The sequence below is a fragment of the Homo sapiens genome, chromosome 18 (assembly GCF_000001405.40).
Source record: "Homo sapiens chromosome 18, GRCh38.p14 Primary Assembly".
Classification (NCBI taxonomy): domain Eukaryota; kingdom Metazoa; phylum Chordata; class Mammalia; order Primates; family Hominidae; genus Homo; species Homo sapiens.
Window position 1 is genome coordinate 27,175,352 of NC_000018.10, and position 25,041 is coordinate 27,200,392.

At 36.9% G+C, this 25,041-nt stretch overlaps 1 protein-coding gene across 3 annotated transcripts in view; it reads right to left on the minus strand.

Moving 5' to 3' along the window:
* The window catches only part of CHST9 (carbohydrate sulfotransferase 9), a 278,828-nt gene extending 268,871 nt beyond the window's left edge, over window positions 1-9,957 (minus strand). For all 3 annotated transcript variants that reach the window (NM_001256316.2, NM_031422.6, XM_006722555.5), the window contains exon 1: window positions 9,785-9,957. The gene's annotated coding sequence lies outside the window, so the exon portion shown is untranslated. The remainder of the gene's footprint in view (window positions 1-9,784) is intronic.

Here is a 25,041-nt window from a genome sequence, read left to right on the forward strand (position 1 = left end):
TAAAGTGAAGCCTTTTAAAATTCCTGAAATTATCAAGGGATTCCACATGTCAGAGGAAGTAATATAAAGGCATGCCTGGGCATTTATTTATTTTGGGGGGTGTAAGAAATTCAACAGCCCTGCCCTACTTTCTAAATAAATGTAGCAACACCCAAACCACATCTAAATTATGGAGAGGAAAGAGAAATAGAACGAGGAGTATGATATTTGGAGAGGTCACAAAGAAAAAAGTGGGGCATCATAGCTTACAAACTTTATTTTATTTACTTATTTGTGTATTTTTTATTAGAATGTGAGGGTGGATACATGTGTGTGTTTGCATATGGCACATGTGTATAACTTTGTACATGTGGAGTTAGAGATGTTCACTCAACATTTATTCAACAAATATTTATTACACTTCCTCTCTGAAGCAGGCGTTGTAGTATTTGTTAGGAATACAAGGACCATCAAAACCAGATGGATCCCTATCTTAGCGGTTAATTAAATAATTATACAAATAAATGTGAATTTGCAACTCTTCTAAGCACAATGGATACAGATACATAAATGTGTATATACTTATATGTATTTTATAAAGGGATTTAATTCAATTTAGGGGTAAGAGATGGTTCATTTGAGGAAGTGACATTTGAGTTGATATTTTCAAAGTGTTAACTAAGAGTTAACTAGAGAATGCTTGAGTTTGTGTTTTTAGGGGATGGGGGGATGGGAGAGAGCTGGAATGTTAAGGCAGCTTGAAGAAAGCCAGGCAGCTGAAGCTGAGGGAAGAATGGGAGCATCTAAAGAGATAAAAGTGGAGGAGGCTGTCCTTGCTGGGCTACAAAAATCAGGTGCTGAGTTTTGGTCTTTATCTTAAGCAAAGCAATGGTAATTCATTTAAGTGTTATCCGTGGTTGCAAGGTGATAGTTTTCATATTTGCATTTTGAATGCAAATATAATATCTGGTATCCCATTGGAGGATGAATTTGGGGGTGGGGAACAATGCCAGGAGATCAGTCATGGAGACATTGTTGTTTTTCTACACAAAGGATGGTGAATGCTTACACTTGTGTGACGGCAGAGGCAGATTTTTGTAATTAATTTTGGAGGTCAAAATCAAAGCCTTGGTAATGGAATTGAAGGAGAAGTAATGTCAAGATTAAAACCAGATTGGACTATGGGAACCCTGCACCCTTGAGGTGAGATGAGCAGAGATCAGGAGTTTGATTTTGACATGTTTCATTTGATGTTTCTTTAAGATAGACAAGAAGAAATGCCAGGTGTATGAGCTGTATCTACAAGTGGGCAATGTAGAGGGACTTTCTGAGCTGCGATTATGTTTTATAGAGTGTTCTGCATTAAATATATATCAATAATCTCAAGCCATTCTTACTGGTTAGTACTTGGTATATGTATGTTGAGAAATCCCAAGGTGAATCAAAGGTCTGAGGTATTAGATGAACAAGCTCTGGTACCTGGGATTTCAGTGATTTTCAAATTCATTTCTATTCTAAATGCTGTTCTAATTCCCTGATCTGCAAAATCTGAAAAAATGACTTTGCTAGACTTTTAGCAAGTAGCAAGTGGTATATTTATAGGTTGAAGTTACAAAAGTGATCATGCAAGAGGAGGATTAGTATTTAAATTATTTAACAATCAGCACAATTTGGACTCCAGCTACAAATAACCAGTAAGACTATACCAGTGCATCTAGCTGAATGCCAGCCCTGCTGGAGTAATAAAATCTCATTCTCTGATAATAAAAATTCCTAATTGAAAATAGAGTGCAAATGTTAGAAGGTAAAAGGGTGTTGATAGTTACTGCTTTTTGTCCAAAAAATGTCACTAACACCTAAGCATTTTTTTTAATAACTTGAGAAATCGATCTTTTGGGGAAAAAAATTACCCTCCTTCTAATCGACTGTTCAAAGAATCCTGTAAAAAACTAAATTAATTTAGATGATAATTTCTTTAAAACTGTGCCTATTTAATTTTTAAATGTATTCATTAAAGTATATAATCAACATCACTATTTTACCTAAATCCTTACAGACTATATTTGCTTAAAGTAAGCTGGACCTATAGGTCACCACTTTAATTCCATCTGTGAAAAGAAAAAAAAAAGAAAGAAAACAATAGAAATGACCGCAAAACTAAGTGGAATTTTGGGCTTCTTGGTACTGAAATTAATGGAAAAGTAAGTATCGTTTCTTCATTTGAATTGACGGTGTCATCTTATTTGGTTTTCCCATTTTCACATAAATCTAACAGAGCCTTCTGAAATTTCTTTTACCACATTAGCTGGGTATATTTTTCCTTTTCTTAACCATATTCTTTAGTGTTATAGAGTTCAGTTTAGGGTAGCATTGAAGTACTATAGCAAAAGGAGGCACTCTGAACAATGGGAGTGGAATGTGCCATATCTGTTTACTCTGACAAAGAAGGTTTTCTCTTGTATAGCAGAGTTAACAGTACAAAGAGGAAGGAGGGTTTTACTTCCACAATCTTTCCCTCTATTCCATACAAAAATAAAAAGCAGAGTAAAAGGCAGATATTCCAATAAAATTTCACTGCCTATATAGATCTTTGTGCTGTTCAAATGAAAGAAACACCTTATTTTCCTTATCGCCTCCCCAATCCAACAACTTCAATTTCATCTTCTCTGAATCCCCATTGCACCACTATACTCGCATTAGAAATTGTAACAAAAGTAGACCGAATAAAGTTAGGGGTCAGTCTGAGGTTGAATGTTGGGCCATTCAACAGACCAAGAAGCTTCCAGTAAGAATGAACAATACACAGAAAACAATCACAGATCAAATTGTGTTCTGTACAATTGCTGCATCCTCTTTGTCGGAAAAGCTGCCTCTCTTGATTTGGTAAAACATGTCCTTCTATGCAGAGAATTTTGTGATTGTGTCAAAGCAATTGGTTATTCACACACATACACACCACACACACATATTATTGACTTCAATCTCAAGTGCTGCGCTTACATTAAAAAGCTTCTTTCTTTAAAAAGAATAATATATACAATGGCCTAAAAATATGTAACGTGGACCCTGACTGGGAAGAAATCTAAGAAAAAATATCTCACAATTTGATAAATTCAAGATGGTGTAGCTAACACTCAAATTACATTTCATATTAACTCTTCATTTTCAAGAGCAGATCTTAAGTTACAGTCCAGTAGACAGAAGTAAGAAAGTTTGAATTTCACTCTCAATTTCCTCCTTGCTTCTGGGATCCTACACCCTCCTGTATGTTGTATATATGAGTAATCTTCAAAACCCTCTAATCTCTCTGCAAATACTGTATATTGCACAAAGAGAAGAGATGTTGGTGTGCTTTTAGGATGTCAAGAGTGCACAGGTTAAATACCTCTGAAACAGACAAAACTGACCACACCCCTTACCCTCAACTTCTAATATGCTGCACAGGATTCATCTACCACAAGCAATATAACAAAATTCTAATACAGCAGTTTATTTGGGTTGGAAATAGCTTTTGGGCTTTTACTATAAGCATACTTCATAGCACGTAGTTTTGTGGTATAAATTCCAGTATTGGACTAGTGCAGTTCTTTTTTGCATAAGCATGTTTCAAGGGCATTAAAAATATAAGCCTTAATAATACCTCCTTTCCTGTTTTTTCAAAGCCTAAAATTATGTGTGTATACATATATGCTTTCATAAATATGCACATATATACATATACGTACATGCATACATGTGTGTGATAATGTCTCTCTCTCTCTCTCTCTCTCTCTCTATATATATATATATGAAAACTTTCAGTGCTTTATGGAGATATACATTTAAGCAGTTAAGGCCTAAGACCACTAAAATATTACCCAGCATGTACTTCAGTTTGTCACCACTTATTGTCACCCAAAAAAGATAGATTCCTAAGAGAAATAAGGACCAGAAGAAGTGAATTTTTACCAAGGTGACAGCGACAGAAAAAGATTAGAACATGACCTGCTTGAGGGCAGTGAAGTCTGTGGTTCTGATCCATTAGAGCCAGTGTATCAGTGAACAAATGGGATGGTCCTACTTAAAAGAAGTAAAGATAGATAGGTAGGGGCATGAAAAATAATCCACGCCTACATAAAAATCTTGGTTATCTAGCTCTATGGCTCTCATAATGGCAAGTGACACACCTACAGAATATTTTAGGTAGGACTGGGTATGTTCAGGGTTGTCACAAATTATTGGTGGTGGTAGTGGTGGTGTGCTATTGGCTTTTAGTGTATATGGGGGAGGCAGCCCAATTTAATGAAGAGTTTTTCTAAAAATATTCCATATAAAGTTTATGTGTCCTATTTAGCTAAATGTTATGCATATCAAACTGTATAACCTGGTACATAATTACAATTAAGAATTTTATTTACATTCCCACCAAAAGCCGAGCAATTTACAAAAATAGTTTAGTTATTTCATGTACTCTATCTTCTAACTCTAGAACTGATAGACTATAATGTTGATAGAAATTAAACTTAAGACCAACTCAGCACCAAATCAGTAATTTTTATTTTCAAGTATTTTACTTATTGACAATACGGTGAGTAACCTTCATCTCTTGAAATAGAATTAACATTAGTTAACAACATGGAAATGTTCCAGAAAGTACTTTTGGGATTTTAGTGGAAGTATATCAATGGTATTTACTCTCTCATTTGCAAAATATCATACTTTAAAATTTTCTCCACTCCAAGAGTCTACATTTGACTTGGCAAATTTTCCCTATACCATTAACTTTCTTCTTCCGGTTTTCATCTACAAATAAGTCTGGGTTGTTAGTATCTCAACACTAGTTTAAGTCTACCCTCATTCTTTCACTTTCGTGCACTTCTTGCACGGGATGTCTTCTAATGTTTTATTTGTCTTAAATTCAAATTTATTCATCATATATTCATACAAGCGCTGACTTTACTATGTGTCTAGTGAAGTTATCCCTGAGCGTTAGTAGTGAAATACACATTACTTTTATTTTATTAGTTTTTAAAAATTACAACTATATTCTGTAATTATTTATAAATGACTTTTGAGGATAATAAGGGGGTAACAAAATATTTGTTTTTAAAAAAGAGGACAGAGTCTGAGAGGGTCAAGGATCACAGTCTGGTCCACGATGACTACTCAATGCATGAAAGAAGACAGCAAATCACAAGCCTTCTACATTTACCTCTGTACTGCTTCATTCTGTGACTATCACATATTAGTTGATACCGTGATGGCCAGAAAGAGTTAACTCCCCTACCTAACTAATCTAACTTTCTAAGAGGTAGCTGGATGAGGAGTCAGGAGACCAGGTTTCTAGTTTCTGCTCTGCCACTACCAGTGTGGCCTTTAGCAGTTCATCATGATCACTGTAGGTCCCCATTATTTCTGCAACTGTAAAATGAGGACACAGGAATAAATTACTTTTAAGATTCTTTCCAGCTCTATTAAAAAATGCATAATCTTGATCCTAAGACTTAGGCATTGATAAGAAGAAACGGATTCCTTTAATAAGTGTATATAAAATTTATCCTGTGGGTCTCAATTATATTTCCAACCACAATATTTCTTTTAAAATATTCAGTCTAGTCAAGTCTTTAAAAAATGTCATGCCTTACAAAAAATGAAAATGTTTCCTTAAAAAAAAAGCATCCCTACACTTTATGTAGTGAGCACATTTATGATGAGAACATAGTCTCTATTCTGAAGGGTACATCTACTTTTCTATCACCATTCTCCTTACTTCCATAAAAGTTACAGTTTGGCTGTGAATATTTGAAATAAAAATGATCTTATCTGCTTTTCCCATCATATATTTTTGGCAGTTCTAACCTTCCACACAGAGGTTTTCTAAATTCTAACAGTCCACAGAACTAACAATTCAACAAAATCTATGTCCAACTAAAAACTGACTATAAACAAGATATTTCATGCTATGGTATGAATCAGCTTCTTGCTGAAGTAACTCATCTACAACCCATTTTGCCCTAGAGCTTTTGAAAAACACAATAGAAATCTGTTAAATTGGCAGTCTTGCTGAACTTCAACTATTTTATCTAGCTTGGTCCACTGTAACAATAATTGAGAGGTTCTCTTTGATGAAATGTGTTTTTGATTTGGAGCATAGGTACAGAGATGAAATGGACCAAACCCCTTATTTAGATGGCTTCTTGCTATTCCTTCTCTTGGAAAGGACATATTAATATATAAGGCCTAGGAATGCCATTTAACGTCAAAGACATACATATGCTTTAGGAAAACACTTAAAAATGCAGTGTATTAATAGTAAGATGCATACATTAACACATTCTTATTTGATTTTCAGGAGCAACCTATTATCACTTCTTAAAATATATTAACCACCTCTGTTACATGTAAAGTGGGATTGAATTTCTCAAACTTTGACTATAAGACTTTTATTTTTGCTGGGAACATATCTAATCCTTAACACATATTCATTAAACAGGCATACAATCAAGTCTTGCTTATCTTTCTTTGAATTACATATGATTTCCTGCAAAGTTTTCATACCAGGTTTGCTCACTTCTGCCACCCAGCTCATTTCTGGGCAGTCTGCCCATCTTCCCCACCTCCCCACAAATGGGTTTTCGTGTTTGAGGCATGAAAACTCATTTAAAAATTAACCTAAACACAAGAAAATAATTAGAAAGGCAACTTGCCCACAATAACAATGAAAATCTTTTTTAAACCAAACATGCAATACATTCCAAAGACAAACACAAATGACTTTTTAAATAACCATGATTTTACATTATCTTTGCCTCTATTTTTCTCATTAACATGAATAATTCAGAGTATTTACTATACATGGTGAAACTGTTTCTCCTCAATAATTCATTTTTAGGATACAGAAAAATAAGATGTAACATGTTCTTATGTAATATCCAAAGGTTTTAATTAGACTATATTTTTAAAGGCAACTTTACTTTCAAAATTATCTGTAGTTTGGGTTTATTCTGTCCAAAGCCATTCTTCTAAGTTAGGAGAATCTTAACGCTTTCAGGGAAAAGAGCAGTATAGAACACTGTAGCTGGTGATAATGGCCCACTTTTTCTTGGTTCCTGATAATCTTCAAGTACACATCAATTATTTGCAAAGTGTGAAAAAGATCATCACTATCTTTTTCCTCAAAAAATATGAAAATGCTTTGGGACATTGCACCCATATTTGAGTGAAAAGAATTTTCCTAATGTGCTGGCTAGGCTAAAGGAACAAAGGATGTATTATGTAACTTAATTTGGAATGATAAAATACCGTAATATTGAAGCTCTAATTAGAGCAAACACCCCTAAATGGGAAATCTTTCTTGGATAGGGAACTGAATATCTCAAATCTTGCTTTATTGATGACATCAACCAAACAAAGAGTGTGAATCTATCTGCTGATTACATCCCAACTCATCCAGATTCCCAAATACAAATATAAAGTATATAATAACAGGTAAACATGTTATTCATATCCTATCTCACATCCTATGCTATTCATATGCAATACTGATGTGGGAAACAATGTGTATTTCTTAGGTTTACTGAATTTGGAATTTGTAAGAGTAAGTTAGTCTCTTATTTTGTAAATTCTTCCTTGGAAGATGTTACATTCTCCTGGAAACCATACTAAGTTTCTGAAGTCACAGGGCTTTTTAATGCACTTCTTCAGAGCATCAAATGCTACCCTTGTGACCAGGAAGAAAGGAAAAGAAGGTCATCAGGAGGGCCCTGCAGCTGCACTAATTTCTAGCTTCTCTCTGTTAACAAAAAGGTGGGGGGTGGGGGGAAAGCAATCAGATTTTTACTGGAGTATACACCAGCCTTGGCCAAGTGCTTTGAAACTTTTAGAATGTCTTCTTTCATTGAAAATAAAAGAAGCAGAGCTTATGGTGTAATAAGCCAAACACAACAGTTACTGAACTTGAGTCAACATTGGATACCATTACAGCTTTCAGGATAGTCATGGGAATGTATGAAATGAGTAAGTACGTTTTGATACCTGTGAAAATAAAACATTGTGCTGTAAGTGAGTGGGAGAGAACAGATGGTTGGTAATGATTTAAAACATTTATGTTTTTGGACTATCACCAAGCCTCTGTATTAAAAAATATGGTGTTTAGTTAGTACATACCAACATCTATATGCAAGGTGCTCATTTTCTGGAGGACGGTACTGTAATGAAGGGGATAAAAACCAAATGAGGTAAGAGGAACATTCTTCTCGTTTTCTGGGGGCATTCAGTGTGTGCTATTTCTTATTGACGATATGCAATCTAAATGTTTTCCATATGATGAGAGGATTTTAATTTTTCCTCAATTACTAGTCAGCTGTAAGTGCCTAGGAATCATACTGTTTGATCGTATGGTGTAGAATTGTAATATTGTTTTGTAAATTTGATTCACTTTGATTGAAGCTCTTACACCCTTTGAGCAATAATAAAAAGTGGTAGTTCAGGGTGCTCTTGCCCATGAAAAACAATAGCATTCACCTTATCCTCACGTTGGTTGGCAGGCATATGGTGTTATGATTAGGTACTGGAATTAACAGGTGCCAGCCAACTGAATCAGAAGACAGATAAATACTAAATATGGTCACAATGCATTTGGATGTGTATATGTGAGTTGAAAAGAGGCCCCTGTCCTTCAAACCGAGAGGAATAATAACAATGTAAATAAAATTGTACAAAGATAGATTAATGCAATTCTGAGGTTAAAGCGAAGAAAAATAAACATTGGTAATACTCTCAATTATCAGAAAAACTGCGAAAAGGGAGTCCTGTTAAGCATCCACGGCGTTTTGATTTGGATCTGATAGCATAATAGGGAGAAAAAAGTCACACACACACATTGTGTATTATTCACTTGCCATCGCTTTCAAAACGCTGGGGATTATTCAGGCACAGTATGTTTGTGGGAGGGAGCTGGGGGTGGACCGCAGAGAGAGAGAAAGGAGGAAGGCCTGCAGCTCTAGACTTAGCACCTGTGAACTTAGTTGGAAATAACTCCTGACAGACATCAACCATAACACCTTCTAACAGAAACATGCTGATAGGCAGGATGTTCAAACGGGGCAGAAGAGGGAGCAGGCAACCCTGTGAAAGTAACAGCAGCAGAAACAAACACACCATTCCTTCTCCCCGCAACCCACTTGGAGCCCCTCCTCAGATCGCCCCTCCCAACCCCTCTGCTCTGGCCACGATCGCACCTGGCCTCCCGGTCCCCCTAACTTCCCTCCCACCTCTCCCGCAGCCTGCGCCTGAGCCTGAGCCAGGTCGCGGAGTTTGAGACTGACGCAAAGGAGGCACCCCCGCAGCAGAGATGCTCGTCTTTCTGCCACACACCCTGGAGGACCCGACAGACTGGCAGCAGAAACTAAAGACTGTTCCTGCCGTCCTCTTTCCAACCTCTGCATGCCCCAAGAGGGGTCTGACCCCGGAATCCTGGAGTCCAGGGTGCCCCGCCGGGGCGCAGGAAGGAAACTCAGGTAGCTGACAAGTTCAGGCGGCCGTCCTTCTCCAGCGCCCCCTCAAAGTCAGGATCCCCTCCTGCTCCCGCCCCCCACCTCCCGCCATGCGTCCACTGAAGTGAAGGGAAGTGGGTTGGAATACTGGAGGTAGGGGAGATAGAAAAAGGAAGAAGCCTCCCGCATCTCCAGCGGCGAAGCACCTGGAAAGGTGAGGGCGCACGTCCCCGCCCACCAGAGCCCGCTCCCGGCGCGGGTACCCAGCAGCGCGCCATCATCTCTGCCCCTCCAGTGCCCCCCAGCCCCAACCCCAGCCCCAGCGCGGTTACCTCGCGGGCCGCTGCCGGGCGCTTGCAGGTGCTGCTGTTCCAGGAGCGCAGCTTCGGAGGAAACTTCCCCGCGCTCCGGGGCAAACTCCCGCGCACTCCTGGCAGCCGTGAGGTGGCTGAGAGCGGAGCGCCGCGCCGGGAGCGGGGACAGCTCGGAGTCGGGCGCTCACCCTGGCCCTGACCCTCCCGCGTCCGGCCCGGCTGGGGCTGCGGCGCCGCCTCCGCGCCCGCTCCCGCCCGCGCCCCCGCCCCCGCCCGCCCGGGCAGCTCCGCCTCCCTCTTTTTCTCTCCCTCGCCCCCGCTGCCCGCCCTGCCTTCTCCAGCTCTGCCTTTGTGGCTCTCTGGTCCCCTCTTTCCTCTGACTTTCTGGCCTCGCCTCCGCTGGCGACTCGCCCTCCCAGCCCCGCGTGCCAGGGCTCAGGTGCCACCCCATGCCCAGTCGAGGAAGTGATTACCCTAGCAGTTCTTTCCCAATTCGCCCTCTCCTCTCCCCTGCGCTGGGGTCTTCTCCTAGCTTTTCTAGAAACCCAGTTCTGAGGAACACGTCCATAGGTTAGAAGGCTGTCGCAAACGTTAACTCCAAAGTCAAAATGTGTTTTGCTTTACAGACAGGAGGTGATGTTCGTTTGTTTATTTTAATACATCAATTATAATAGATCAATAAAGTGCTTGTTGTAAGTACGGCTAAGTTCAGCAGCAGGTTTGTGTAAACCAGGGCTCCCTCAAAATGAGCATAGTACCCATTTATAATGTTCAAGACCTAGGAGATTTCTCAGGCCACGCATTTCAAAATCGAACAAGCTGAAGTTGGCGGTTTTAAAGGGCTTTGCAAAGACCAACACTAGAATAACATTTTTAAATCATTAAAGGAAACACCAGGCTTTGGGAGGCCCAGGCGGGAGGATCACTTGAAGCTAGGAGTAAAAGGCTGCAGTGAGCTCTGATCCTGCCACTGCCCTCCAGCCTGGGCAACAGAGCAAGACCTTGTCTTGAAAGAAAGAAAGAGAGAGAAAAGAAAAAATAAAAATGGTTCATTCAGGTTTAAAAATTAGTTCTAAACATTATTCTATCAACAATTTGACCAAACTAGGGCAAATAAAAATAAATGAATCCTTGATTGCTTATTTTGCATTCAGATGATTTCTATAAATTAACAAAGAAAAACTCAACTATTTTTTTAAAAGCATTAACTAGTTAAACCTACCTTATTACGACATTAGAATTTTGTTGTTGCTTTTGCTGAAACTGAAATATTAGCCTTATGCACTTCCAGTAGGTCTTATTCTTATTAATGGTTTAGTAATAACACATCTGGTAGTAGTGAACTTTGGTTCTTTGAAGAATTACCATTATAGGACTTGTTTGCCTGATGCAGGTTTCTTTTTAAACAGAAGCTGATTTATTATTCTGTCACAAGTGTTTTATTTTCATGCATTTTTAAAAATTGGGGTAAACACCACATTTTTATCATTTTTAATGTACAGTTCAGTAGTGTTAACATACAGTCACATTGCTTTAAAATAGATCTTCAGAATTTCTTCATCTTGCAAACCTGAAACTTTGTCCATCAAACAGCTCCCCCTTTTCCTCTCCCCTCTAGCACTTGGTAATTACCATCCTACCTTTTGCTTCTATGAATTTGACAATGTTAGATCTCTGATATGATTAATATCCAGAATATATAAAGAGCTCCTATAACTCAGCAACAAAAAGTCAAATAACCTGATACAAATGGGCAAAGGACTTGAATAGACATAAGAGTTTAATTTTTAAAATTTGTATATTTGCTGGGGTTTTTTTGTTTTATAGATTTCTTTTTATTTCAGCTTAATTGTAAAGGAGTTTTAAAGTTATCAATGCCATATAAACACACTATTGAAAATTTGGAAAATTGAAAAAGAGTAAACAAATCATTCCACAAGCAAACCATTGTAATACAACTTGCTGATTTGTTATTAACTTTTAACCCAGAGTCAGTCCTTCATATGGGGAAAATCCTCATTCTCCAATAGAATAAATGTTTCCTGAGTTGAAAGAAACAAGCTAGTGTTCCCTGAGCTGTATTTAACTGACACATGCCTGGTAGGCAATTGATGAGCGCTCCTTGAATGAACTAACCATTTAACTTACTCGCTCTTGGTTTGGTTCCCTGTGTATCCATCCATGTTCTATGAATTCTTGGAGTTGGTACTATCCATTATATCACAGCAGTGAGGAAATTCAGGCCAACCTGATAATACATGAACTCTACTTCTAGGCTGTTGCAAAACATGCAAATTTTTTAGCCTGTGCCTTTCAGAAGTTGAGCAAGAATATCATTAGAACTGTATTTGAATATAGTTCTATGCTTAAAATGGGCATAAATTGAAAAGTTTTAGTAGCTAACGGGGGAATTGGGCATGATCAGATCAACTTATTGAATTTGCTTGATTGATGAGCTACTAGGCATTGCTAGTCCATTATGGGGTTTCCAGTCTTTAGAATCTATTTTATTCACTTATCTATCACAGCAAATCAAATATTTAGAACTGTGGCTGTCTTTCATTCCTAGACCTCTGTTTAAAACTGATTTTAAAAATTTGAAGAATTACTATTATAGAAAATTGAATATTGTTAATATCCAAGGTTGATGAATAAAGGATCAAAAAATTACCTAAAATGTATACCAAGCACCAGTATAAGATGCATGTTCTCATGCCATTTGATTGGGAGTTATATTGTTATGTGAAAATATTACCTTTTAATTTTGTAGTTAAACTAATTTAATTTTACACAGTGAATTATTTCTAAAACATTGATTAACAGCATGTTTCTAAACTCTCCAGTCTATTAATTTTGTTTAGTTCTTTCAATTTCTTAAAATGTTTAACTATTGACTGTTTCTGGGCAAGTGTGAAGCTTATGTATTGTTGATCCTTTAATGAATAGGTTGGTAACAATTATGGTCCATAAACGTGGTTTCTGCATCAAATCTCAAGGTACATTCAATAGCAAAAGTGCCTTCATAGAAGGAAGACTTCATCATTCTCAGGTTTATTTGGAAAAGGCATACAATGCTGATACCGCTAGGCTAAGCACAACAATAAAGTTAAACTTAACTTTGAAAGTATAACTAGTAGTATAAAGAATGACTTCAGTGAGCTGCTCATAGAGATGAAAAATGTGTGTAAGGTGACCTGGGGTAGAGAGGTAGGAAAAGAGTAAGAAAGGATATTTTCCTGGTTTCCTTATGTACCAAAAACAAACAAACAAACAAAAACAAAACAAAACAAAACAAAACTAATTTAAGGTATCAGCATGACACTGCTAAGGGATACTTCTTGCTATTTTTGAGTTTATGCTTTTCTCTAATTATGCCGGTGTTAATGATGACTTGGCTTAATTAATGGCCAAAGTCAAAATTCAGCAGAAATGCATTTAGCACAATATGCCAGGTCATGTGGGTGTTGCAAATACCTCTGAACCTTCTTATTTATGCCTCCAACTATTTTTTGAGGGAAAGCAGGGTTTTATTTATCTGGGAAGAGATATTTTTACACAAGTCAATAGAGGATAGTCCAGTAGCTACAGTAGTTTCCCTTTATCTTATCTTGCTTTTATTTTGCAGCATACGAGTAAAACTAGAAAAAAATGATAGAATGCGATTTATGTTGATTCCTGGTCAAGTGAACACAAGCCGGCCCACTGAACCAGAAGAAAAGAGTAATAGAACTCTTGAAAGAGAAGATAAAACCCACCGTATCCAGATATTGCTGGGAAGAAAAATAAAAACAACTATTAAAAATTTAAAATCACTTTTAGAAAGCTTCCTTGCATTAGTGCTATGAAATAGAAAGAGTCTTGGAGAACAGGATTTGTTCACGTTAAGTTGGGCAAGTCTTCTCTTCCTGGGCTCAGTTTCCTCATCTGCAGTGCATGAGGTCATTGAACTCCATAAGCCCTAAGGATCCTTCTGGTTTCAAAAATCCCATAACGTCTGATATAGAACACTTACCTTGACAAAGCTCTTCAAGTCATTTTCACCTTCACATATTGATTTATCTGTGTAGTGACATTTAAAGTGAATTCTAATCAGGAAATAAAAGGCTGATTTCTTCAGTAGAAGAAATTGACAATAAAAAAATGTGAATACAAGAGAGAAACAAAGGCCTGATTACCAGAAGTCGATCTATAGGATACAGAATGTGGCATTGTACAAAGTAGAAATTCCTTTCTAAAATTTAAGAAGAAATCATTGTAACATCAGGAATAAACAGGAAAAAGGAGAAAGCATTAAGATTTTCCAGTCAAGGAGAGATCTGGAAACATAATGATTTACCTCCTGCCATAGCAAGCATGGTATAGCAAATTTTATGATTTGGGGTTGATCAAAATTATTGTGTGACGAAGACATAATTAAAAAAAGATTTGACTCTGTCTCTAACCTTTTTTAAGGAAGGAATTATTTTCTTAAAAATCAAGAACAAATCAAGGACCAAATATCTATAACTAAAGCACAAATTAAGTGTTCAGAAGAATATTGGGGAGAAAAAGCAGAATGCAAAAGGAAAAATGCCTTATGGAAAGAGCATAGGATTAATAGTAAATGAGGAAGAACTATGACTCCTAAAGAATTATAAATTTTAAATTGTATGAAAAATAATATTGGTAAAACAGAAAAACTAAGAGATAATTGTAAGTAAATAAAAATGAAACAAGATGTGTTGCCATTATTATTATATATCAGCTGCCCCAGTAAAGCAATAATTCAAGGTCAAATAACTTAGAATGGTCAGCACCTAATAGTCTTGGTAAATAGAGCAGGTCAATAAATATATATTGATTGGTTGATTGAATAAGAAATGCTTGCAGTTATTTTAGGAAAATCAAAGTTGCTTGGGAAGTTATGCATGTAATTTCTTAAACTAAGCAAGTATAAATTTCCTTTTGAAACAATATAAAACAAAACCTTTCCTAACAGTTACCTCTAAATCCTAAACAATGAAATCTTTTATAAGATAATGTTTATATATAGCAAAACCTAAATTGGAAATAGATAAAATGTGGAAATATAAATGTGCTTCTGTAGAAAGAAATTATATTTTATATCTTTGATGGTTTTTGATAGGTGGTTGGAATAGGGAAAATTCTGTGTGAACAATTTACCAAAAAAATGCTATACTTTCCTCTAAACCAATATTTGGACATATAAATATTTTCCAACTGGGTTCAGTTTTTGATATGGCCAAAGATAATGATATGTTATTTCAAGACTGTAAGTCAAAATAAAATTGATTTGAAATGGTCTGAATTAATGAGATGCCTTCCATCCTGTAAGTTTCAACATTGTCATCTCAAGTGATAAGATAATGATGGACCGTTTCTTACCAAATATTTTATTAATTAACTCACGAAGCTTGGCCTGTTCAGTCAGTATAGACACTATGTTCCGGTGCCTTGGATGTGATTAGCAAGATGTGATTCCTTTAAATAATGAGCTCAAAACACATATTAAATTTAGAAGTGGTAAGCTTACAGGAAAAAGAAAGATCTGCTGGGAGTGAATAAAAGGAAAAAGAAAAAATGGCTTTGTGATTTCTATCAATGGTGTGCATGTGCGTGTGTGTGTGTGTGTGTGTGTGTGTGTGTGTACGTGTACTTGAAAGAGAGAGAGAATGCAGGCAACAGGCAAGCTGGTAAGAAATTTGATGAAATAGAGAATATGTCAATGATGTATCCTAAGAAAAAATATAGAATTTGAGGGCACAGAGTAATTCTAAATCCACCTCCAATCCCATGCAATGAAATATTTCCTCGTCCAGCACTGGGAGTACTTGTGATATACGGCTCACCTCACTAAATCTAATATCATTTCAGCCCAGAGGGACACAGAGCATGGTGACTGACTTAGCCTTTTTGAGGGAAGGGATTTTGTTGACTGTTCAAAATGTGTTGTCCTTAATGGGAGGATTTTTTTTCAAATAAAGGTAAATAATGATTTTTGAAGACTAATACCTGTGATGAAAAATTAGTGTAAAAGAAAATTTATACTCAGTAGCATCATAAAATAAGTATAATATTAGCAGTGTGCTACAAATATTATTTCTAATGTTAATACTTAAAGTGAGCTGATAATGAAACCAATTCAGCTTAGTATTATTAAGCTTATGCTTTTATTTAGCTAGTTATTTACATCTGAATCTATGTCTACATATAGCTATTCTAAATAACATTTGGATATTTGGTCTATTTAAAAGTCTTTTTCCCCTCTTGTAATAAAAATGTTTTTAAATTATCTCCTAATATTTAGAAAAGAAGGAAAGTATCTATTAGATATTTATATCTTGTACTTGTGAGGGGTAAAACAGTGGAACTTAGAACTTGAAAGACTGCCTTGTTTTAGAGGGAAAACAAAGATGCTATTTCTGGCTAATAATTGTGAATGTAACCTGAACCTTAATTACTAAGGTAAAAATAAACAAGTTCAAGATACAATCTCTTGCTAAAGTCTATTCTTCAATACATTTCTTAATACACATGGTAACATCTAAGAATAAAATTTCCAAGGAGGAATGTGTCCTAATGCAATTACCTTGGAAAGTTTTCATATTTCAGCTTATGGGAAATCATAGATTTAGGCATTTATGAATTAATTTTTGAATTAATTAAAATAGCTCAATGAAATGGCATCACTATTACACTGATAAGTCTCCGTTTCTTCTTCTCTCTATCTTGTTGCTTCATGTTCTATGTAGTAGCTAGCCATTGCTCTGGGCACTTTAATTCTTGATTTTCAAATATCAATCTTATTTTGTAAAAAAATCTCCATGCACAGAAGCTCTTCTATTAGTTACATTGCTATACAGTCTAATTTTTTATGTTGGGTCACAAATTTTATAAGCTTTCACAATATCACATTTGATACATCTTTCAAGCTTGCTTTTTCATCTTGATTAGAGGGACTGTTTAACAAATCTGCACATAGATATCCAATCTCCAGCCGGGCGCGGTGGCTCACGCCTGTAATCCCAGAACTTTGGGAGGCCAAGATGGGCGGATCATGAGGTCAGGAGATCGAGACCATCCTGGCTAACCCAGAGAAACCCCATCCCTACTAAAAATACAAAAAATTAGCTGGGCATGGTGGCGGGCGCCTGCAGTCCCAGCCCCAGCTACTCGGGAGGCTGAGGCAGGAGAATGGCGTGAAGCCAGGAGGCGGAGCTTGCAGTGAGCGGAGATGGCGCCAACGCACTCCAGCCTGGGCGACAGAGCGAGACTCCGTCTCAAAAAAAAAAAAAAAAAGATATCCAATCTCCGTTGTTTAGACACATGGGACTGCATTTTATGGAGTACTAACTCACTTCTACATTATTTGCCCAGAAACTATAGAATTCTTGTGCTATCTTTTTTCAACCACAACTAAAAGCAAATGAATTAAATACCTATTACCTCTGAACACTGTTTATACTTCTGGGTTAGGTGTGCAAATATTTTTCCCAGCACAGGAGCTGACCCTTGTCTGTGGTTATGCTGACTAAAGATTTTAATAGCAGAGAAAAATAAAATGTGTTTCAATGTGAAGAAGTAGCAAGAAGGAAAGCAAAGGTATCGCATAAGAAATCTAGAAACAGGCCAGGCGCCGTGGCTCATGCCTGTAATCCCAGCACTTTGGGAGGCCAAGGCGGGCGGATCAGGAGGTCAAGAGATAAAGACCATCTGGCCAACATGGTGAAACCCTGTTTCTACTAAAAATACAAAAATTAGCTGGGCATGGTGGCGCACCCCTAAAGTCCCAGCTACTCGGGAGGCTGAGGTAGGAAAATCACTTGAACCCAGGAGGTGGAGCTTGCAGTGAGCCGAGATATCACACCACTGCTCTCCAGCCTGGTGACAGAGTGAGACTCTGTCTCAAAAAAAAAAAAAAAAATCTAGAAACAAATATGCCCCAGTTGACAACTTTATTGTAAATGTGGTATCAGGAATTAAAGCATGAAAATGGAATGTTCAACAGCCACTAGTTAGCCATGAATAAACTTTTAAATCACCCTTCAGATTAAATACAACAAAATGGCATTACTTTTAACGATAATGAGTTATCACAGGTGCTGCATACACAAACGACTATATCACATAGGATGAAACAGAAAGCAGCAAAGAAGTGACCTTAATGAGTAACGAAAAAACATCAAGTTAGGGAGGTTAAAGAAAAGCTCGTGTTTGTTATTATTATTTGAATATTTTGAAGCATGTCTGTTGATGAAAAGAACTAGTAAATATTTATAGATACCATGGCTACCTTAGGTAGTCTGTCACTTTATCAAAATAAACATGGCCTCTGGTAAGCATTTGTTTTAAAATTTAAATTGTAAGCCTGATGCGGTGGCTCACACCTGTAATCCCAGCACTCTGGGAGGCCAAGGTGGGTGGATTGCTTGAGCTCAGGAGTTCAAGACCAGCCCGGGCAACATGGAAAAACTTCATCTTGACAAAAAAATACAAAAATTAGCCAGGCATTGTGGTGCACACATGTAGTGTCAGCTACTTGGGAGGTTGAGGTTGGGAGAATTGCTGAGCCTGAGAGGCCAAGGCTGCAGTGAGCCGTGATTGTGCTGCTGCACTCCAGCCTAGGTGACAGTGAGACCTTGTCTCAAAAAGAAAAAAAGAAGAAAAAAAAGAATTTAAAATAAGATCCATGGAAAAGACCAAATAATCTAGCATTTTTAAGCTGTCTTCAAGATTTAGAAAAGAAAAATATCTTAAAGAAAATAAGCTACATCAACCAACAAGTGGATAGAGAAAATGTGGTCCATACACACCATGGAATGCTACTTGGTTATTAAAAGGAATAATGTCTTTTTCAGCAACTTGGATGGAGCTAGAGGCCATTACTCTTATTGAAGTAATTTAGGAATGGAAAACCAAATATCGTATACTCTTACTTATAAGTGGGAGCTAAGCTACGAGGATGCAAAGGCACAAGAATAATATAATGAACTTTGGGGACTCAGGAAAGGGGAAGGTTGAGTGAGGGATGAGGAATAAAAGACTACATATCAGGTACAGTGTATACTGCTTAGGTGATGGGTGCACTACAATCTCAGAAATCACCACTAAATAATTTATCTGTGTAACCAAGAACCACCTATAACCTACTGAAATAAAAATTCAAATAAAAAAAGCCATAGTTAGTAATTACTGTAAAAAAAGAAATGGGCTAAAATGTAAAGCACCAAGTACTATATACTATGACATATATGTTATATATGTAAGTGTATATATATGTACATATATATATGAGAAGCCATTTCTTTTGTTCATTTGTTTAACAAATATTTATTGAGCTTCTCCATGTCTACAGTGACCTTTGAAGATTGCCACATAAGCAAGAAAATCACCTTCATGTTGATTAATTCTAGCCGGAAAAGAATACTAAATAAACATACAAATAAATAAACAAGAGAAATAAAGACTAAAATTTTAATGAAGGAAATAACCAGGGTTCTACAATAGTTAATAGGGGGAGAGGATACTGAGGTAGTAGTGCAAGAAAGAAGGTGCTGTTTGAGCAGAGTCCTTAAAGATGAGAAGGAGTAAACTAAGCCAACAGCCTAGGGAATGGAGTTTCAGACAGAAGAATCAGCATGTGTGAAGATTCTGAGTTGTGAGAGAGTTTGGCTTATTTAAAGAAAAGAAAGGAAGCCAAGTACTGTGGCAAGGCGAGACACCTTGAGCTGAGGTTAAAGACATGGAAGGGGCCCAGCTATGAGGGTGGTTGGGACAGGACAGGTCATCCACACTTCATTTTATGTGTAGGGGAAGCCTCCAGAAGATTTTAAATAGAGATAGTCAGATTTGTATTTCTTGATAGTGGATGTCAGTAGACAATAGTTGAGTTAATATAGATTTTATATATACATATTTTTTAAGACAGGATATCGCTCTGTCACCCAAGCTGGAATGCAGTGATGCAATCATAGCTCACTGCAGCCTTGAGCTCCTGGGCTCAAGCGATCCTCCCACTTCAGCCTCCCAGGTAGCTGGAACTACAAGTGCATGTCATCCTGCCTGGCTAATTTTTTATTTTGATATTTTTGTAGAGACATGGTCTCCCTATGTTGCTCAGGCAGGTCTTGAACTCTGGACTCAAGTGATCCTCCTACCTCATCCTCCCAAAGTTCTGGGATTACAGGCATGAGCAACCATCTTTTAAAGATCTTTTAAAATAGAAAATTTTCTCCTTGAAGAATGTTCCATATTTGGGCCTATCCCTAGGTGTGTGTAAATAATTATGTTGTTAATCATAATGTGGGCCCCCTTATGCCTGCATTATGCATACACACATACATACACTCATACAATATAGCAAGTCAATTACTTCTGTTTCTAGTGTACATTTTTAATGAAAATCATAAATCACACCATTGGTTCATCATGAAATTCAGGATCAGTCCTATAATTAATTCTGGTGAGCTTTTCATATGTGATGAATAGATATTTCCTGTGGCTAAAAAGTGGTCTGCAGATTGAAGATCTCTTAGTGTCTCTTTCCATTTTTATCATTGGTATTTCCACTAAAATTGTTGACCTCTTTAGACTTTTACACCTTGAAACAACAGTAATCTCAGAGACTTGCTTGGTTTTAAGGTTTATTAAAGAAAAGTTCCAGCTTGAGCTGCACACTCACAAAGTGGAGCCCACAGACTGTTCTCTGATGACAGGAAACAACAGGCCCTCATCCCACTGCCCGGTGGATGCTGGTTGTGTTCCACCGTATTTGGAATTTTTTTCACTGTTTTGCTGTTATTGTTTTAATCATGTTCTAAAATTGTGGGCTGTCCAAAATCCTTGGAGGCAACATAAGTCAGGAGAGAAAATGTGTCCTAGAGTTATACAGAAAATTTGTAGGCTTAAAATTGCAGGAGATATGATGGGGGTAAGAAATGCAAAAAAAAAAAAAAAAAAAAATCAGAGGAAAGATAGTTAAAATGTATTTGTGCAGACTGGACCTCACTGAAACTCGCTCAACTCTGAAACTCACAATTCTGATGTCACCTAGACTTTCAAACTCTCACCTTCTACCCACACTGAACTGCCCTACTCAAACATCTCTAGTTTCTTCTACTCATTTAAATAAAGTTTGCAATGCCAAGATACCTTCTTTTATCCCTAATGTAAGGGCTTAAAATTTCTTAAAGCAATGGCTTTAAGAAAGGAGACTTCAAAGGTGATGAATGACATTACTATGTGATGTTTCTATCAGAAATGAGAAGATTGGGAACATAGGAGAAAGGAGCATATGAGGCAAAGTAATTTTAACCATTTCATTAGAAGATTAGGTTATTTTAATTCATTGAAACATGCTGATTATAAGACTAGTTCCAAGTTGGTGTTAGGACGTGTTTCTCTTAACTTAGGCATTTGTCTTGGTGTAATGTTGAAAAATTGTTACAGTTTTCTAATTCTTGAAATACTAGATCACTGTGATGATTTTTTTCTGTTTGCCTCTCCACACCCAGACGGTACCCTCCCCACCCTGCCCTTTGTTGGAGCACAAATCTGCATGGACTCTATTCACAGATTTCCTTGCCTTCTGGCTTCTGGTTGGGTTTTGCTAACAGGAATGGTGGAGTTGGAGGTCAGAGAACAAGAGAAAAGAGAAGAGAGATATTTATTCCCTTGGCTCCCAGTTTCCCAAGTTGTTGGAGAGGGGTGGGGTTAGGGGTTAGGACAGAGAGCTGAGATGCTTTTCCAAAGGTATTTTCAATAGCTGGCTACCAGTGCTGGGTCCTGGAACCACACTCCCTCCTTTCCCAGGACTAAGAGTACTAACTCTGCACCACCTTCAATTCCCTTCAATAAACCCCGAGATTCTACACTATTCCTGGGTGATTTCCTTAAAACTCACCCACATCTTTGCAAATAGCCCATTTATTAAACTTTTCTCAATGTTGGACTCCTCTGTTTGCTAAATAGAAGTCATAAAGATGGGTTCTACAGACCAAAGAATAAATATATTTTCAGTTCAATCACATCATTTAATAAATGCACTTTAAGAGGCTAAGGTGGGAGGATTGCCTGAGGCCAGGAGTTCAAGACCAGCCTGGGCAACACAGTGAGACCCTCATTTCTTCAAAAAGCTTTTAAAAAGTAACCAGTGTGGTAGCATGTACCTGTCGTCTTACCTACTTAGGAGACTGAGGTGGGAGGATCACCTGGGTCCAGGAGTTCAAGGCTATAGGGAGCTATGATTAAAACACTGCACTCCAGCCTTGGTAACAGAGTAAGACCCTGTCTTAAAAAAAAAAAAAAAAATGTAGTACAGGGTCTCATCCTGATACATGTATTTAACCATTTATTTAATTTAACATATTTATTGTCTACTGTGGTCTGGGTGTATGTTTGGTGTTGGGAATATAAGGTCAGTGGGTCTCAAGGTACTGAGTATTCATTCAAGGCAATGCCTCGGAAGAAACCAGGAGGACCACTTAACCTTGGGGTAGCAGTTAAGGAGAATCAAAGATAGTTTCTACAAGGAGCAATTAATTTCAAGCATGAAGGGAGGGGATAGGAAACAAAGAGAGGGGATGAGAAGGAAAGTGGACTTTCTGGTCAGCGAGAAAAATATTTATCCAGTTCCAGGGGTGAGAGAGAGAACATGGCATATTTGGAGAACAAAGAGCAGCTTAGCATGGCTGCAGCATAGACCCTGATGGAGTGAGTAATATGAGGTTGCAAATGGTACCAAGGGTCTTGCATGTTGTTTTAAGAGTGTGAACTTTATTCCAAAATCAATGGGGAGAATGAGGTAATAAACAAGGGATTAACACTTCAGAAAGCTCATGCTGTCTGCAGCATGGAAACTGTGCAAGGCTGCAGGCAGAGAGGTGACTGCGCAAGGCTGGAGGCAGAGAATGAGTGAGGAAACTGACACATTAATCTAGGCAAGAGATGATAGTGGCCTGGACAAATGTCTTAGCAGTCGGAATGGGAAAAAAGTGGAGAGAATGGAGAGATGTAATCTATAGGAAACTTGCCGCTGGCAACACAGGTAATACTATATCAAACTGAACTTTAGAATACACATAGCTCTGCTTATCGGTGTTAAAGCTGAACTTCAAACTTTTCATAGCCTTTCAAGAATTTCAGTCAAGCATTTTCATTATTGCTAAAATAGCCTTTGTTAAGACTACTGTTGTTGACTTTATTGCAGTTTGAACCAGGGCCATCAATACAGTCTGCCCCAAGTAAATATTTCATGGGTGAATTAATCAGCTGTCCTTTCTTAAAACTATGTTTATAATATGTCTTTAGTGATTATAGATTTTTCTTATGTGTTTTGCAGCTTTCCATTATCTTTCTGGGTAAATATTAGTCTTAAGCAAGAATGAAATACATTACATAATATTTAAAAAAAATTACAACAGCTGTTTGTGGTGGGAATATTGTTTCAGTAATGCATTCAACAAGTCTTCACAGAACTACTCTTTTTTAAAAATTAAAAATTTTTACAAATGCTATCTTTATGATTCTCAGCACCTAAATATGTCTTTCCTTATCTATATTTTAAGACAGTCTAGCCTGCATTGAACTATGAGTAAGACATATTATATTTTAGTCAGCAAAATGCTTTGCTCAATATAAAAAAATTATTATCCTTTTTAGGACAAAGTAATATCACTTGCTAGTTTACTAAGTTTTTACACTGATTTTGCACTGATTATCACCTTGGTGAGTTGAAAAAAAGTCTCCAGTTTTCAGAAATGTCTGAAACAGAGTTACTATAAATACAAATAATCATCAAAAATATTTTTTAGATAAAAGGTATTTGGGGAAATAAAAAATATAAAGATGTTTTAAAATGTGACAGTAGTAAAAACTTTAAAAAAATAAAACACTTAAATTTGACCTGGGTCATGAATTTATTCTGACAAAGCACATCCACCGCATCAAATTATTAGTCTTCCCAAACCCCAAAGATAATGGATTACTACTGAGAACTTTTATATAAGATTAAGCTAAACTGACCTCTTTGTAAATTTCTGTTATCACTTTCAGTTGTAGCTGGCATGAAATGATATATAGTTCCATTTCTGGTGTAATGTTCAAATGTTTGTGGGTGGTTATTATATTTCCATCCACAGTTTCTCTCTCTCAAGCCTATTCTGGGTCATCTTTGTGTGCCCCTAGGTCCCTAGAGAGGTTTAATCAGTGGATAACATGTTGTCGTCCTTGATGACATTTTTCTCCTTATTTTTTACTATCATAATACACTGGTAAGACATATTTATTTTTTCCATGTGCTAGAAAAGAAAACCACTTATTATTCTTGACTTTTTTTTTTCTCATTTTTCTTTTTCAGTGAACGTTTATACCTTAAATACTTATATCCTGGGAGTACTAACTCATTATTGTCTTAATTCTTGAAAATATCAGTTTTCCTTTATGTATCCTCTCACCCACATTGGTATCTAAAACATTTCCTGTTGAGTTGAGTAGTTTCAACAATAAATGATATTATGTACTGAATTAAAATATTGCTGAATTTTTTCACTATGACTAATTATAACCTGAAATCTACATGTAATACAAAATTATAGTTAATATATCAATTTTAGAAAATAAAATACACAGCTTAAAAAGTTCTCAAATGTATATATGTGTGTGTGTGTATGTATGGGTATACACATATATATATAGAGAGAGAGAGTCACATGCCATGTAATGACATTTCAAAGACAGGCCACACATATAACTGTGTTCTCGTAAGATTATAATACTGTAATTTTACTATACCTTTTCTATGTTTAGCATGTTTGATACACTAATACTTATCATTGTATTACAGTTGCCTACAGTATTCAATGCAGTGACATCTATACAGGTTTGTAGCCTAGGAGCAATAGGGTATATTATATAGCTAGGTGTGTAGTAGGCTATACCATCTAGGTTTGTGTAAGTACACTCTATGATGCTCACACAATGATGAAATCAGCCAATGACATGTTTCTCAGAACCAATTGTTAAGTGATATATGGCTGTATACATACAATGGAATTTGTGAAGGAAATATGTTTTATTCCAAAGCTGTCAGTGAAAGCTTTTATGCATTTGATAAATGAAAAACTGGTTTATATTGAACATCTGGGTAGTAGACAAAGTCATGATTTCTCTTCTTTTAAAAAGGAAGTCTTGATGGATCATTACAAGTGCTATAAGGCCTTATATGGAAACATCATGGACTCAGATATGCTCCTTACATTATGCTCCTTACATTCTCA